The 14128-nt window shown below is 43.3% G+C and overlaps 1 protein-coding gene and 1 long non-coding RNA gene across 9 annotated transcripts in view; one reads left to right on the top strand and one right to left on the bottom strand.

Moving 5' to 3' along the window:
* STK32A (serine/threonine kinase 32A) overlaps positions 1-4303 on the bottom strand; it is a 166965-nt gene extending 162662 nt beyond the window's left edge. For all 7 annotated transcript variants that reach the window (XM_011537577.3, NM_001112724.2, NM_001287740.2 and 4 more), the window contains exon 1: positions 4130-4303. The gene's annotated coding sequence lies outside the window, so the exon portion shown is untranslated. The remainder of the gene's footprint in view (positions 1-4129) is intronic.
* A 94-nt stretch (positions 4304-4397) lies between these two features.
* STK32A-AS1 (STK32A antisense RNA 1) overlaps positions 4398-14128 on the top strand; it is a 57897-nt gene continuing 48166 nt past the window's right edge. The window contains exon 1 of one of the 2 annotated variants that reach the window (NR_147191.1): positions 4398-4616. This is a non-coding gene — a long non-coding RNA (STK32A antisense RNA 1). The remainder of the gene's footprint in view (positions 4617-14128) is intronic. The other variant, NR_147190.1, reaches the window with a different exon arrangement.

The following is a 14128-nucleotide window of genomic DNA, read 5'->3' as shown; positions in this document are numbered from 1 at the left end:
GAGGAAAGCAACATATTTTTCAAAGTATGTAGAAAAGTTTAAAATGAAGTCAGCAATACTTTATTCAACAACTATAAAATGAAAATATTGTTGAGAAAATATGCTGATTTTATACTGTCTTGTTGTTACTGGGTAATCAACAACAAAAATTTTCTTTTTTAGTCATAAAGATGCACTAGCTATCTGTTTCTGCATACCCTGGAGGGTACTACAATGTAAAAGAAGCAAGTTCTGGGTTGGACTTGACCACACCAGCAAATTGCTGAATTTCAATATATTTCTCTGTTTTCTTCTTCTGAACTTGGGGAAGATAATGGTACTTTCCTCAATGGAGAGTTGAATGGGACAGACATACATTTAACTCATTATATATTAAGTTAAATGTATAATACACACATATATAACTCTTTGTGTTGTATTTATATATTATTAACTCTGTGTTGTATTATACAACTCTTTGTTAATATATATTAACGTATATATTATGTTTATATACAACATTTATATATATATCAACTCTGTTGTATTATATAACTCTTTATATATTGAGTTACATAAATCTATGATATGCATACACTTAACTCATTATATATTAAGTTAAATAATACACATATATATAACTCTGTTATATCATACGTATGTTATATCACATTTATATATATGTATTGAGTTACATAAATGTATGATATGCATACATTTAACTGAATACACAAAACATTTTCATAGCATAAGTGCTCAAAACTGTTAGCCGCTCTGAGGCTCAAATTAAATGATATGTGTGAACAAGAAAAGATCCTGAAAACTACGGCTTTGCTCCACTTTAAAACATAATGGTAAAGAGAGGCAGCATCCTGTGTTCCAGTCCTAAAACTGACACTGATAATGCCTTTGGCCCAGTTATGTAACCTCTCACCTCTAGAATGGGGGAAATGACAGTGTCTACCTCAGGAGTGACAAGCTGGGATCCCTATAGGAGCCAGGCAGATGATGCAAATGAGTGAGCCAGACTGGGCATTTAACATTAGTGCATTGGGCAGACAATGGTGGCAATGGCTCCATCCAAATAAAGTAATTGTGCTCAGATCAAACAGATTGTCACCACATGGAAACATGAGCCCAGATCTTCAGATCTATCCCCCAAATGGGGTAAAGGTCTAGATTTTGTACAAAATAATATTTTAAAATTCTACTCAGCTATCTGGCTTAAGAAAATTTCATGCTTAGCACATATATGGTCATGGATACATATAATGAGACAATGTATATAAGGTAATTGGCACAATGCCTAGCACATGATATGCAAAGAATGAATGTTAGCTCCTGCTATTTCTAAGAGTAGCAGAATTTCCTTATTGCGTATTTTTAAAAAAATAGTTGATTTCCTCCTGAGCTCTTTACATGTGAAGGGAATATTGATTACAGGCAGAATTGGAGAAAGTGTTAAGGATGAGTTATTGAAAAAGAACTTATGAAACCCCTAAGGAAGTGTAGAAGAAAAGCTCGTTTTCCCATTAGGAAAATGTAAGTAAACCCTTCATTTGGAAGGCAGACTCAGACTCATTAAGGAAATGCTACTTTTCATACTAAAAACCAACTGCTGGCAAAGTGCCTTATGGACTTTAGCAAGAATCATTAAATAGAGAGCAAAGAGAGTCATTAATTAGGAAGCAACCAATTAAATGGTATGAGAGAGGGAGTGAGTAGGGGTAGGTGGTCACAGGTGGCTGATGGAAGCTCAGTGGAATTATTGAGACCCAGGAAGATAGAACTCAACCATTTCTCCAGGATAAAAAATCAAAAAGAGTTTAACTCCAGCAGACAAGGGAGTTAAGAAGTAAGTGGGATGCACTTTTTATTGTGAGTGTTTTATTGTGAGTTAGGGAGAAGCAAATGGGGTGGTCTTTGTGCTTTATTATTGCATTTAAAATCCAAATGAGGGATAGTGTAAGGACTGAACCACTGATGGCACTAGAAAGAGATGAATGGTCCTAAAGAGAACATTAATTTTTTTTTTTTGAGATGGAGTCTTGCTCTGTTGCCCAGGCTGGAGTGCAGTGGCACCATCTCGGCTCACTGCAAGCTCTGCCTCCTGGGTTCACGCCATTCTCCTGCCTCAGCCTCCCAAGTAGCTGAGACTACAGGCACCCGCCACCATGCCCGGCTAATTTTTTTGTATTTTTAGTAGAGATGGGGTTTCACCATGTTAGCCAGGATGGTCTCGATCTCCTGACCTTGTGATGCACCCACCTCGGCCTCCCAAAGTGCTGGGATTACAGGCTTGAGCCACCGTGCCTGGCCGGGAGAACATTAATTTTAAGGATTTGCAGTTGTTAACTGCAGGCAGAGGCTACATTGTCTTTTATTTTGTGCTTAAAACCTGAGTACATGTAGTTTTCACAATGCACCCCAGTCCTGTCATTCTTATATCTTTCTTCACACCTCAGGTTTTTCTCAAGTAGCCTGTCATCCTGCAACATAAGATATACCAAGCACTGACCTTGCAAGTTGTCGAATCAGAAAGAGAAAGAGGAAGGAATATTATCGCAATTTTCCATGTTTCAGAATTTCATTCTGATGTGCACACAATTTTGTTCACCACGGACCAAGTGATTTTTAGTGGGAAGATAATATGCAAACAGGGAACCATTTTTGTGTGTGTCTGTGGAAGGGGGAAGCAGATGGAACCACTGGGTGGTCGTTTAGTATCTTCTTCATTGCACCTAACATACACAATCCAGTTTAAAATTATTTTTCATTTTCTCTCCCATGTGGATAACCAAATTAGATTTTTTTTTTCATATTCAGAAAGAAATCTACCTTTCTCTCGCAGGAAAATGGAGACATGTCCTTTCCATTCTGCTGAAGAGCCCAGTAGAGCTGTAGGACTCTCTTTTACCAACCCCCCAGCCCTTCCTGATCTCCAGGCACTAGGTCTGCAGTGTTACCTAAGCATCATTTTGAGATGTGAAGAGGACAGCTACCATCCATGAAAATGAAAATCCAAAGCATATGAAATGTAAAAGGAGGAGAAATTTGTCTTGCAGGGACACAGGGAGTTTTCAGAGTCTACCCTGACCTGGCCGATTATCAGATTATTAACTGGGAAATAGTTCCCTAATACCAACCTTTCATCTTTGGCCTGTAATTTGGGGGTTGTCAACAGGTAAGCTTCTCTAACCACCAAGCCTCCCTAGATAAAGAGGTGTGGTCTTCTAGGATTGGAAAACATAGGAGGTGATGCAAGAAAGTTGCAACTTTTGATTAAACATTTTAGGTTTCATTGTCACAGAATGTGCATAGACACAACTTATTTTGTTTGCATTTGAAAAACAGAACTTCTTAGTTTAAGAAATATTTTAAAAATAGGGGGCAAAAACATGAAAAATGCCCAAGTTAATAACACTCTCAGTTAACAATTGTTTATATTTGGTCATCTTTATATCATCATTTTTATTTTTAAAGCATTTTAGGGAAATATTATTTCCACCTTAATCCTAAAGTCCAATTGATTTCCCTTTCACACTTTCCAAAGACAGCCACAATCACGGATGTGATAAACATTTTACAGTCCCCCTTCTATGATTTTACAAACATGACAAGTGTCTTAAAATAAGTCACCTAAATGGCATGAGAGAGTGGATATATTTTGCATCTTGCTGTGTCTATCTGCCATCATACTTCTGAAATCTAGGTACAGGCATGCTGATCCCTACAGCTCTGATTTTAGCTTTTTAAGTGCTGCATAGCAGTCCGTTGTGTGAATACACCACATTTTATTTTTTAAGTCCTGGGGGAAAAAGTCCTTGTGGAGATGAAGCAATCATCAAAGGCAGCTAGGTTTTGCTTGTTTAGATGCTGGAGAACAAGCAGAAACACCTCCACTCACTTGTCTCAACCCAGCAAATATTTATTGAAGTCTGTCTGGGTCTGCACATGAGTCAGTGCCAGGCAGGGGAACCTGGATGGAGTGCAAAATAGCTGGAATTGGCCCTAGCCTGCATTTAGTTTTGTGAGTTATCTTGATCAGCAGCCTTTGTCTTCTCTTCTCCTTGCACTTCCTAGCTTCCCAACAGTACCCTTAGTATGCAGGTTTATTGTTATTATTCGTTAAATCTAGACCACCACTCACCTAGTCTCGATTCTTCCTTCATTCCTCCCATGAGGCTCGGAGCGATGCTTTCATCCAGGGAACAGGGACTAAGAGAAGAACTCCAAGAGCAAGGAGCAAGAAAAGGCACCTATCTGCCCGGAAGCGGCGGAGGCTGCGAGCGCCGGGCTGGGCTGGGCTGGGCTGCGCTGGACTGAGCTGGGCTGGGCTGGGGAGGCACCTGCGGCTGCCAAGGGGTCCGAGCGCCGCCCAGCGCACAGCTACCCCGGAGGGGCGGCTCCTTGGCCAGGGAAGGAGGCGGGATCTGCTTGCCAGCGGGCGTCTCCGCTTAGCGCTCTCTCCAGAAACCGCTGGGCAGTCTCCTGGGTGAGCGCCAGACGCCTGGGGTCCGTTTGCCGCCTGCTGAGACTAGACAAGGACCCCGGGAGGGCGACGTTGGGGGAGAGGGCTACGGATGGAGGTCCCGCCGCGCTTGGGCCGGGTCCGGAGCCACCAGGACGCACAGCGGGTACTATTACGCCCCATATCACGGGAACTGCCTCACCCCCCCTGCGATGTGGATCGTAATAGCCGGGGGGGGGGGGGGGGGAGAAGGGGGGTGCTATTACTCTCCATATCGCCGGGGGTGCCTCACCCCCCTGCGATGTGGATCCTAAAAGCCGGGGGGTTGAGGGGGAGAGGGCGGTGCTATTACTCCTCATATCGCGGGGGAAGCCTCACTCCCCTGCGATGTGGATCGTAATAGTCGGGGGGGAAAGGGGGACGCTATTAATCCCCATATGGCAGGAGGGTGCCTCACACCCCAGCGATGTGGCTCGTAGTAGCCAGGGAGGGAGGGGGGGTCCTATTACTCCCCATATGGCGGGGTGTGCCTCACCCTCTTGCTATATGGGAATTAATAGCATTCTCTCCCCTCTTGGACATTAGAAACAATTTCACAGTGTGTGTGTACACAGCCTGCGATATTGAAACTAACAGCATCCTATCCACCTCCGGTTATTAGGAACAATATCACAAAATGGTGTACACTCTTTGCGAGACTTGGAGTTCTATCGTGCTGTGTTTCCCTGAATATTCGTAGAAATGTGACAGCGTGGGTGTACACCCACTACTATATTGGGAGTAACTTCGTACTCCACCCCCTGGAAATTAGGAGAAATATCACGGAAGGGGTGTAAAGCCACTGCGATATTTGAAATAATATCATGCCCTCACCCACTAGTTATTAGGAACAATATCACAGGACGGTGTATACCTTCTACAGTATTGGGAGTAATATCATCATCTCTTTCTTTAGATATTAGGAACAATATCAAAGGGGGTTGCACACCCAGTGTATTATTGGAAGTAATATCATTCTCTCTTCTTCTAGATTTTAGGAATCATATCACAGGCAGGGTGTACCACCCTTATTATATTAAAAGTAATGTTATCTCCTTTCGACCTGGATATTAAGAACAATAAGAAATGCGTTCTGTACATCCTTTGAATATTGGTAGTAATACCATCTTTTCCCTTCCTGGATTTAAGAAACAATATGACTTGTGGGGTGTCCACCCCTTGCAATATTGGGAGTAATATCACCTCTCCCCATGAGGTTATTAGGGACAAAATCACAGGGTGGGTGTACACTTCCTACGTTATTAAGAGTAATATCATCCACTTTCCCCCTTTATATCAGGAACCATATCACAGAAGAGGTGTACACCCCCTGTGATATTGTCAGTAATATCATCTCTTCCCCCCTGGATATTAGGAGCAAAACCACAGGGGGGATGTACACCCACTGCGATATTGAAAGTAATAGCAGCCTCTTTCCCGCTGGATATTAGGAAGTATATCACAGGTGTGTGTGCACCTTCTGCGATATTGGTAGTAATATAAACCTCTACTATGCTGCCTATTAGGAAGAATATACAGTGGGGGGCGGGGGGGTTACAACCCCTGCGACATTGGGCATAATATTATTATTTTTCCCTGTACATTAAAAACTCTATCAAAGGGGTCTGTACACCTTCTGCGATATTGGGATCAATTTTATTCTCTCCCCCACTGAATGTTAGAAACAATATTACAGAAGGGTGTACACTTCCTGCGATATGGCCAGTAATATCATCATCTCCTTCCCTGGATATTAGGAACAATATCACCATTTGTGTACATCCCTTGCGCTGTTGGGAGTAACATTATTCTCTCTTCCCCTTGATATTAGAAATAATATCACAGGCGGAGTGTACACCCCACCCCCTGCGATACTGAAGGTAATATCATTCTTTTTTAACTTAGATATAAGGAACAGTATCACAGGGGGCGTGTACACTTTCTTCGATACTGGGAGTAATACCATCCTCTCAACCCGTAAAGAGCAGGAAAAATATCAAAGAATGTTTGTACACCACTTGCGATATTGGGAGTAACATCATCCTCCCCTCACCTGGGTATCAGAAAAAATATCATGGGGCATGGATGTACACCACCTGCGATACTGGGAGTAATATAATGTTCTATCCCCATGGATATTGAGAACAATATCACAGAGGTGGTGTACATCCTCTGCGTTACTGCGAGTAATATCATCCTCACCCCCCCTAGATATTAGGAGCAATATCACAGGAGGATTATACACCCGCTGCAACATTGGGAGTAATATCATCCTTTCCCTTCTGAATATTAGGAACCATATCTCATGGGGGATGTACAGCCCATTCCATTTTGGGAGTATAATCAATTTCTTCATTGCTGGAAATAAAAAACAATATAACAGTGGTGGTGTACACACCCTGTGATATGGCCAGTAATAACCTAGACTCTCCCCCGGGATATAAGGAACAATATCAAAAAAGAGTGCATACTCCCAGCGATATTGGGGTTAATATCATACTCTTCCCCCCTGGATATTAGGAACAATATCAAAGAAGGGGTGTCCACCCCTTGCCATATTGACAGTAATATCATCCTCTCCCTCCCTGGATATTAAGAACAATACCACAGAGTTGGTGTACACCCACTGCAATATTGAGAGTCATGTCATCCTCTACCCCCTGGATATTAAAAACAACATCACAGAGGGAGTGCACAACCCCCGCGATATGGCCAGTAATATCATAGTCTCCCCCACTGGATATTAGGAACAATATCACATGGGCGTGTACACCTCCAGCGCTATTGAAAGTAATATCATTCTCTCTTCCCCTGGATATTGGGAATAATATCACAGGTGGGGTGTACAACTCCTGCGATATTGGCAGTAATATCATCCTCTCCCAACCTAGATATTAGCAACAAAATAACAGAGGGGTTTATACTGCCTGCGATATTGGGATATCATCCTCTCCCCACCTAAATATTAGGAACAATATCACAGGGGGTGTGTACACCCCTACGATATTGGGGGTAATATCCTCCCTCTCCCTGGATATAAGGAACAATATCACTGGGGTACTGTACACCCCCTGTGATAGGGGGAGTAATATCATTTTGATCCCCCCTGGATATTAGGGACAATATTATGGAGGGGGTGTACACCCCTTGCCAAATTGTGAGTCATATCATTTCTCTTCCCCTGGATATTAGGAACAATGTCACAGGAGGTGTGTCCCTTGTGATATTGGAATTAATAGCATCCTCTCCCCCACTGAATATTAAAAACCACATCACAGGGATGTTGTCCACCCCTGCGATATGGACAGTAATATCATTGTCTCCCCGCCTAAATATTAAGAACAGTATCACAAGAGGGGTGTACACCCCCTGCGATATTGGGAGTAATTTTATCGTCTCTACCTTTGGATATTAGGACCAATATCACGGGGGTGGGGTGTACAACCCCCTGCGATATCGGACATAATGTTATCCTCTCTTCCCCTGGATATTAGGAGCAATATCCTGGAAGGGAGAGGGAGTACAAGCTCTTCGATATCTGCGGTAATAACATCATTTCCCTTCTTGGACATTAAGAACAATATCACTGGGAGGGTGTACACCGCCTGCGATATTGGGTGTCATATCATCCTCTCTTCCCTGGGATATTACGAACAATATCACAGGACGGGTGTACCGCACCTGTGGTATTGGGCGTAATATCATCGTCTCCCAATGTGGATATTAGGAAGAATGTCGTCAAGGGGGGATGTAAACCTTTGATATTGGGAGTAATGTCATCCTCTCACCCCCGGGATTGTAGGCAAAATATCGAAGGCGTTTTACAACTCGTGAGATATTGGGAGTAATATCATCCTCTCTGCACCTAGATATTAGGAACTATATCACAGGAGGCTGTGCACTTCTTGCGATACAGGGAGTAATATCCTCTCCCATCATGGATATTAAGAACAATATTACAAAGGAGGTGTCCACCCCCTGCGATATTGAGAGTCATATTATGCTCTCCCCTTAGGGATAAGAACAATATCGCAGGAGGTGTGTACAGCCCCTGCGATATTGCCACTAGTATCATCGTCTCCCTCCCGGGATCTAAGAAACAATATCACAAGGGGGTGTATACCCCCTGCGATATTGAGAGTAATATCTTCCTCTCCCCCGCTGGCTATTAGGAACAATGTCACAGAAGGGGTGTACACCCCCTGTTATATTGGGAGTGATAGCATCCTCTCCGTCCCTGGATATTAGGAACAACATCACTAGGGAGTGTACACCTCCAGCGATATTGAGACTAATATCATCCTGTCGCCGCCTAGATATTAGGAACTGTATCACAGGGGTGGTGTACATCCGTGCGAAATTGGAAGAAATATCCTCTCCACCTTTGGATATTAGAGACAATGTCACGGTGGAGGTCTACGCCCCTTGCGATATTGGGAGTAATATCATCCTCTCCCACCCAGGATATTAGAAACAAGATCACAGAAGGGATGTACACCCACTGCAATATTTGGAGTAATGTCATCCTCTAGCCCCTGGCTGTTAAAAATAACGTCATAGGGGGGTGTACACCTTCTATGATATTGGGAATAATATCACCCTCTCCCCACTGGATATCAGGAAAAATACTATTGATTATTAATATTAATACATATAATAATAATTAAGAGTAATCATTGATAATAATAATAATGAGGACAAAATTAATGACTTAATCATAATGCACATGATTAATAATTCATAGTAATATCATTATTAATAATGAAATACTCATATCAGTAATAACTGTTAATTAAATCCATCATAAAATGATGATAAAATAATTTATATTAAGATTAATAATATTGATAAATAACATTAATAACAATTAGTTATACTCCTACATAATCGTAAAATTAAAATAATTATTATTACATAATATTGTACTAGTAATTAATATTAATATTAATAATTCCTGATTACTAATTATAATAGTATCACTCCTCATACCTCAAGGGGTGTACACCCACCTGTGATATTGTTCCTAGCATCCAGGGATGGAGAGCATGATATTAGTTTTAATATCGAAGTAGGTGTACACTCATCCTGCGACACTGATCCTAATATCCAGGGGATAGAGTATGATATGACTCCCAGCATAGCAGTGGGTGTACATCCGCCTGGTGATATTGCTCCTAATATTCACGGAGGAAGTGTATGATATGACTCCCAGTATCGCAGGGAGTGAACACCTCTTCTGTGATATTGTTCCTAGTATCCGGAGGGGGAGAGGATGATCATACTTCCAGTATCGCAGGCTGTGTTCACCCACCCTGTGATATTGTTATTAATATCCTGGCAGGAAGAGGATGACATTACTCCCCATATAGCAGGAGGTGTACACCCAGCCTGGGATATTGTTCCTAATAGCCATAGAGGGCAGAGGCTGATATTACTCCCAACATCGCATGGGGTGTACATCCACCCTGTGATATTGTTCTTAATATTCAAAGGCCAAGAGGTTGATATTATTCCCAATATCGCAGAAAGTCCACACCCCCGTGTGATATTGTTTCTGATATCCAGAAGGGTAGAAGATGATATTACTCCCCATATCGGAGGAGGTGTACACCCACTCTGATATATTTCCTAATATGCAGGTGGGGAGATGATAATAGTATTCCCAATACCGCAGCAAGTGTACACTCCCCCCTCCCGGTGACATTGTCCTTAATATTCCAAAGTGGAGAGGATGATATTACTCCCAATATCGCAGAGAGAGTACACCCCCCAGTGATAATGTTCCCATGATTCAGCAGGGAAGAGGATGATATTCCCTTCAATATCGCAGGGGTGTAGACACCTCCAGGGATACTCTTCCTCATTTCAACGTGGTAGAGGATGATATTCCTCCCAATATCGCAGGGGTTATAAACACTCCTTTGACATTGTTCCTAATATCCAAGGGGTGGAAAGGATGATATGACTCCCTATATTGCAGAGGGTGTACACCCGCCTTTGGTATTGTTCGTAATTTCTAGAGAGGGAGATATTCCTCACAATATCGTAAACATGTGGTGTGTCCACCGTGGATCCTAATAACCAGGGCGGGACATGACTCCCCATACCGCGGGGGGTGTTCACCCCGCCTGTCATATTGTTTCTTATATCCAGCGGGGAGAGGATGATATTACTACCAATATCGAAGAAGTGTATACGCCCCCTGTGATATTATTTCTAATATGCACGTTGGGAGAGGATGATATTACTCTCAATATCACAGGAGTTGCACACCCCGCCTGTGATATGATTTCTACTATCCAGAATACGAGAGAACGATATTACTCCCAATAGAGCAGGGGGTGTACACCCCCCATGTGATATTGTTCTTAAAAGCTAAAGGAAGAGAAGATAATATGATTCTTTATACTGCAGGGGGTGTACACCCACCTGTGACATTGTTCCTAATATCCAGGAAGGGAGAGCATGATATTACCCCCAATATCGCTGTGGGTGTACAACCACTTTGTCATATTGCTCCTCATATTCAGGGGTTAGAGGATGACATTAATCCCAATATCACAGTGGGTGTACCTCCACCCGGGGATATTGCTCCTAATATTCAGGGAAGGCGAAAATGATATGACTCCCAATATCGCAGAGAGTGTACAACCCTTCTGTGATAGTGTTCTTAATGTCCGGAAAGAAAGATGATATTACTTTGAATATCGCAGGCTGTGTACCCCCACCCTGTGATATTGTTCCTAAAATCCAGGAAGGGAGAGGATGTTACTTTCCATATAGCAGGAGGAGTACACCCACCCTGGGATTCTGTTCCTAATATCAAGGGAACGGGGGAGAGCGTAATATTACTCAAAATATCGCAGGGGGTGTACATCCCCCCTGTGATACTGTTCTTACCATTCAAACAAAGAGAGGATGACATTACTCCAGATATCGAAGAAAATGTAAAACCCCTGTGATATTGTTCCTAATATCCATAAGAGGAGAAGAGGGTATTAATCCCCATATCGCAGGAGGTATACACTCATACTGATATTTTTCCTAATATGCAGGGAGAAAGGATAATAATATTGCCAATATCGCAGGGGTTGTACACCCCGCGTGAGATTGTCTTTAATATTCAAAGGCGGAGGGGATGCTATTAACTACCAATATCGCAGAAAGTGTACACCCCCCAGGGATATTGTTCCTATGATCCAGGAGAGAAGAGGGTAATACCTTAAATATCACAGAAGTGGTACACGCGTCCAGGGATATTGTTTCTAATTTTAACGTGGAAGACAATGATATGACACCCAATATCACAGGGAGTATAAACACTCCTGTGATATTGTTTATAATATTCAGAGGGGAAGAGGATGATATTACTCCCAATACTGCAGAGGGTGTACACCCGTGTGTGAAATAGTTGGTAATTTCCAGAGGGGGAGATGATATTACTCACAGCATCGTAAACAGGCTGTGAGTCTACCGTGGATTGTAATAGCGGGGTGTGGGGGCGGGGAGAGGAAGGGGTTATTACTCCCCATATGGCGGGGGGTGGCTCACCACCCTGCGATGTGGATCGTAATAGCCAGGGGGGTAGGGGGGACTATTACTCCCCGTAAGGCAGAGGGGTGTCTCACCCCCTTGCCATATGGATCGTAATAGCCGGGGGGTTGGGGGCAGAGGGGGTGCTGTAACCCCCCATATCGCCGGGGGTTGCCTCAGCCCCCTGCGATGTGGATCGTAATAGCCAGTGGGGGAGAGGGTGTCCTATTACTCCCCATATCGCAAGGGGGTGCCTCACCCCATTGTGCAGTGGATCGTAATAGCCGGGGCGGGCGAGGGGGATGCTATTACTCCCCGAATCGCAGGGGTGTGCCTGATGGACCTGCGATGTGGATCATAATAGCCAGGGGTTGGAGAGGGGGTTGCTATTACTCCCCCTATCGCAGGGGTGTGGCTCACCCCCCCGCCATGTAGCCAGGCGTGGAGGAGGGTGGGGTGCTATTACTCCTTATTTCCCAGGGGGGTGCTTCACCCCCTGTGATGTGTATCGTAATATCCAGGGAGGGAAGTGGGGGTGCTATTACTTTCCATATCGCATGGGGGTGCCTCCCCAACTTCCCGGCCCGGGCTCGGATTCCCCTGAAGAGACACGTCCTGCGTCGCCATGGTGGTGGGCATGGGGGTGGCGGGTCGGAGCCTGCTGATCTTAGAAAGGGAAAGGCGAGATTGCCATTAAGACTTCCCTTGGGGTTATGACGGGAGACCAAGACAGTGGTGAGAATTTTACAGGATCCTAACAGGAAAGATCCTTAAAGGACTGTGGTCTGGTAGATTTTTTTTTTCTTTCTTTCCGTTTTATTGCACAGGGAATTGAGGCACAAAGACAGAAAATACTTGCCCAGTGTAGCATAACAGTTAGTGGAGAGAACCTTTGGTAGGCCCAGGTCGCCTGGCTCCCAGCCTCCAAATTTCCCAGGCACCTTTGTTGCCCTTGCTCTCTGTGGGTGGAAGTGGGGGCCGGACGGGGCAGAGATGAAGACCGAAGTGCTGGCGGTTTCTCTGTTCTTATCCATGGCAGGTCTCCATACAGCTCTTTGTAATAATCAACACGATTGAAATAGTTTCTTATTGTTTCCATCTCTAACCCAAGAATCACACACACCTAAGCCTACGCAGATTGGGCACATAGGTTGCCTCTGTCATGGTGACGGTGGGCGGGGTCAATGGAGAGTGTGGGTCTATTCTAGGTGTGGGGTGAGGACAACTTCTTTTCAGCTCCACCTTTCCCTGCCATGTGGGAATGCCAGCTCAGCACTGCTAAATATTCAGATTTTTCAAGAGAAGCTGGAAACGAGAACTTTTGTATTAAATCTTCCTTATTTTTAAACATGGACAGAATTTTTAAATGTGAAACAAAAGGTGGTAAAACAAAGTGTGTCTGTGGCTGACATATCTGTTTCAGATTTCCATTGTTTGATCTATGGAGATGTAAAGTTCCACAGAGTGAAGGAATCATATTGGTTTTGTTTAACATTTTTGGGACCAGATCCTAGGATAGTGCCTGATACACCTGAAATATCCGCTGAACTTGTTGGAGTGCTAGTGGTCGCCTTATGGTCAAGAGCCCCATAATGGATTCAATTAAAAGAATATTACAAGATAACACTATTGTCATCTAGCCCTTTTCCTCTTCTTTCTTTCATTCCCGTCATGGGCTACACACTACCCTAGTATGTTAAAACTTGGAATAATCTTTAACTCTCACTAACTCACTTGTTTACTTTAAATTTGGGGTCCGGATGAAGAGTTTTGCCCTAAGCTGCACAATGTGATGGTGGCAGAGCTGGGTAAAAACGTACCCCCCGTGCTATTGCCCTATCACCTTCTGTTGTTGCCAACGCCTTATGAAAAACCTGAGAGAGGATTAGATACTATGAATGAACATTTGGTGTTCAATTAGGGGCAAGTTGCAAAAGAGGGCTAAACACAACCAAGTTTAGGAAAAAAATAGAGTTTTTAAGGAATTCATTTTTGCGAGAGAATTTTCTTTTTAGGCAAAAATCAGGCACCTGGCAAAAAAAAAAAAAAAAAATATATATATATATATATATAGCCTTTGTATAACACTGGGGACTTCACAAAACA

This window comes from Homo sapiens, chromosome 5 (genome assembly GCF_000001405.40).
Source record: "Homo sapiens chromosome 5, GRCh38.p14 Primary Assembly".
In the NCBI taxonomy this organism is placed as follows: domain Eukaryota; kingdom Metazoa; phylum Chordata; class Mammalia; order Primates; family Hominidae; genus Homo; species Homo sapiens.
The sequence above is the reverse complement of the archived record's forward strand: the minus strand, read 5'-3'. Positions and strand labels throughout refer to the sequence as shown.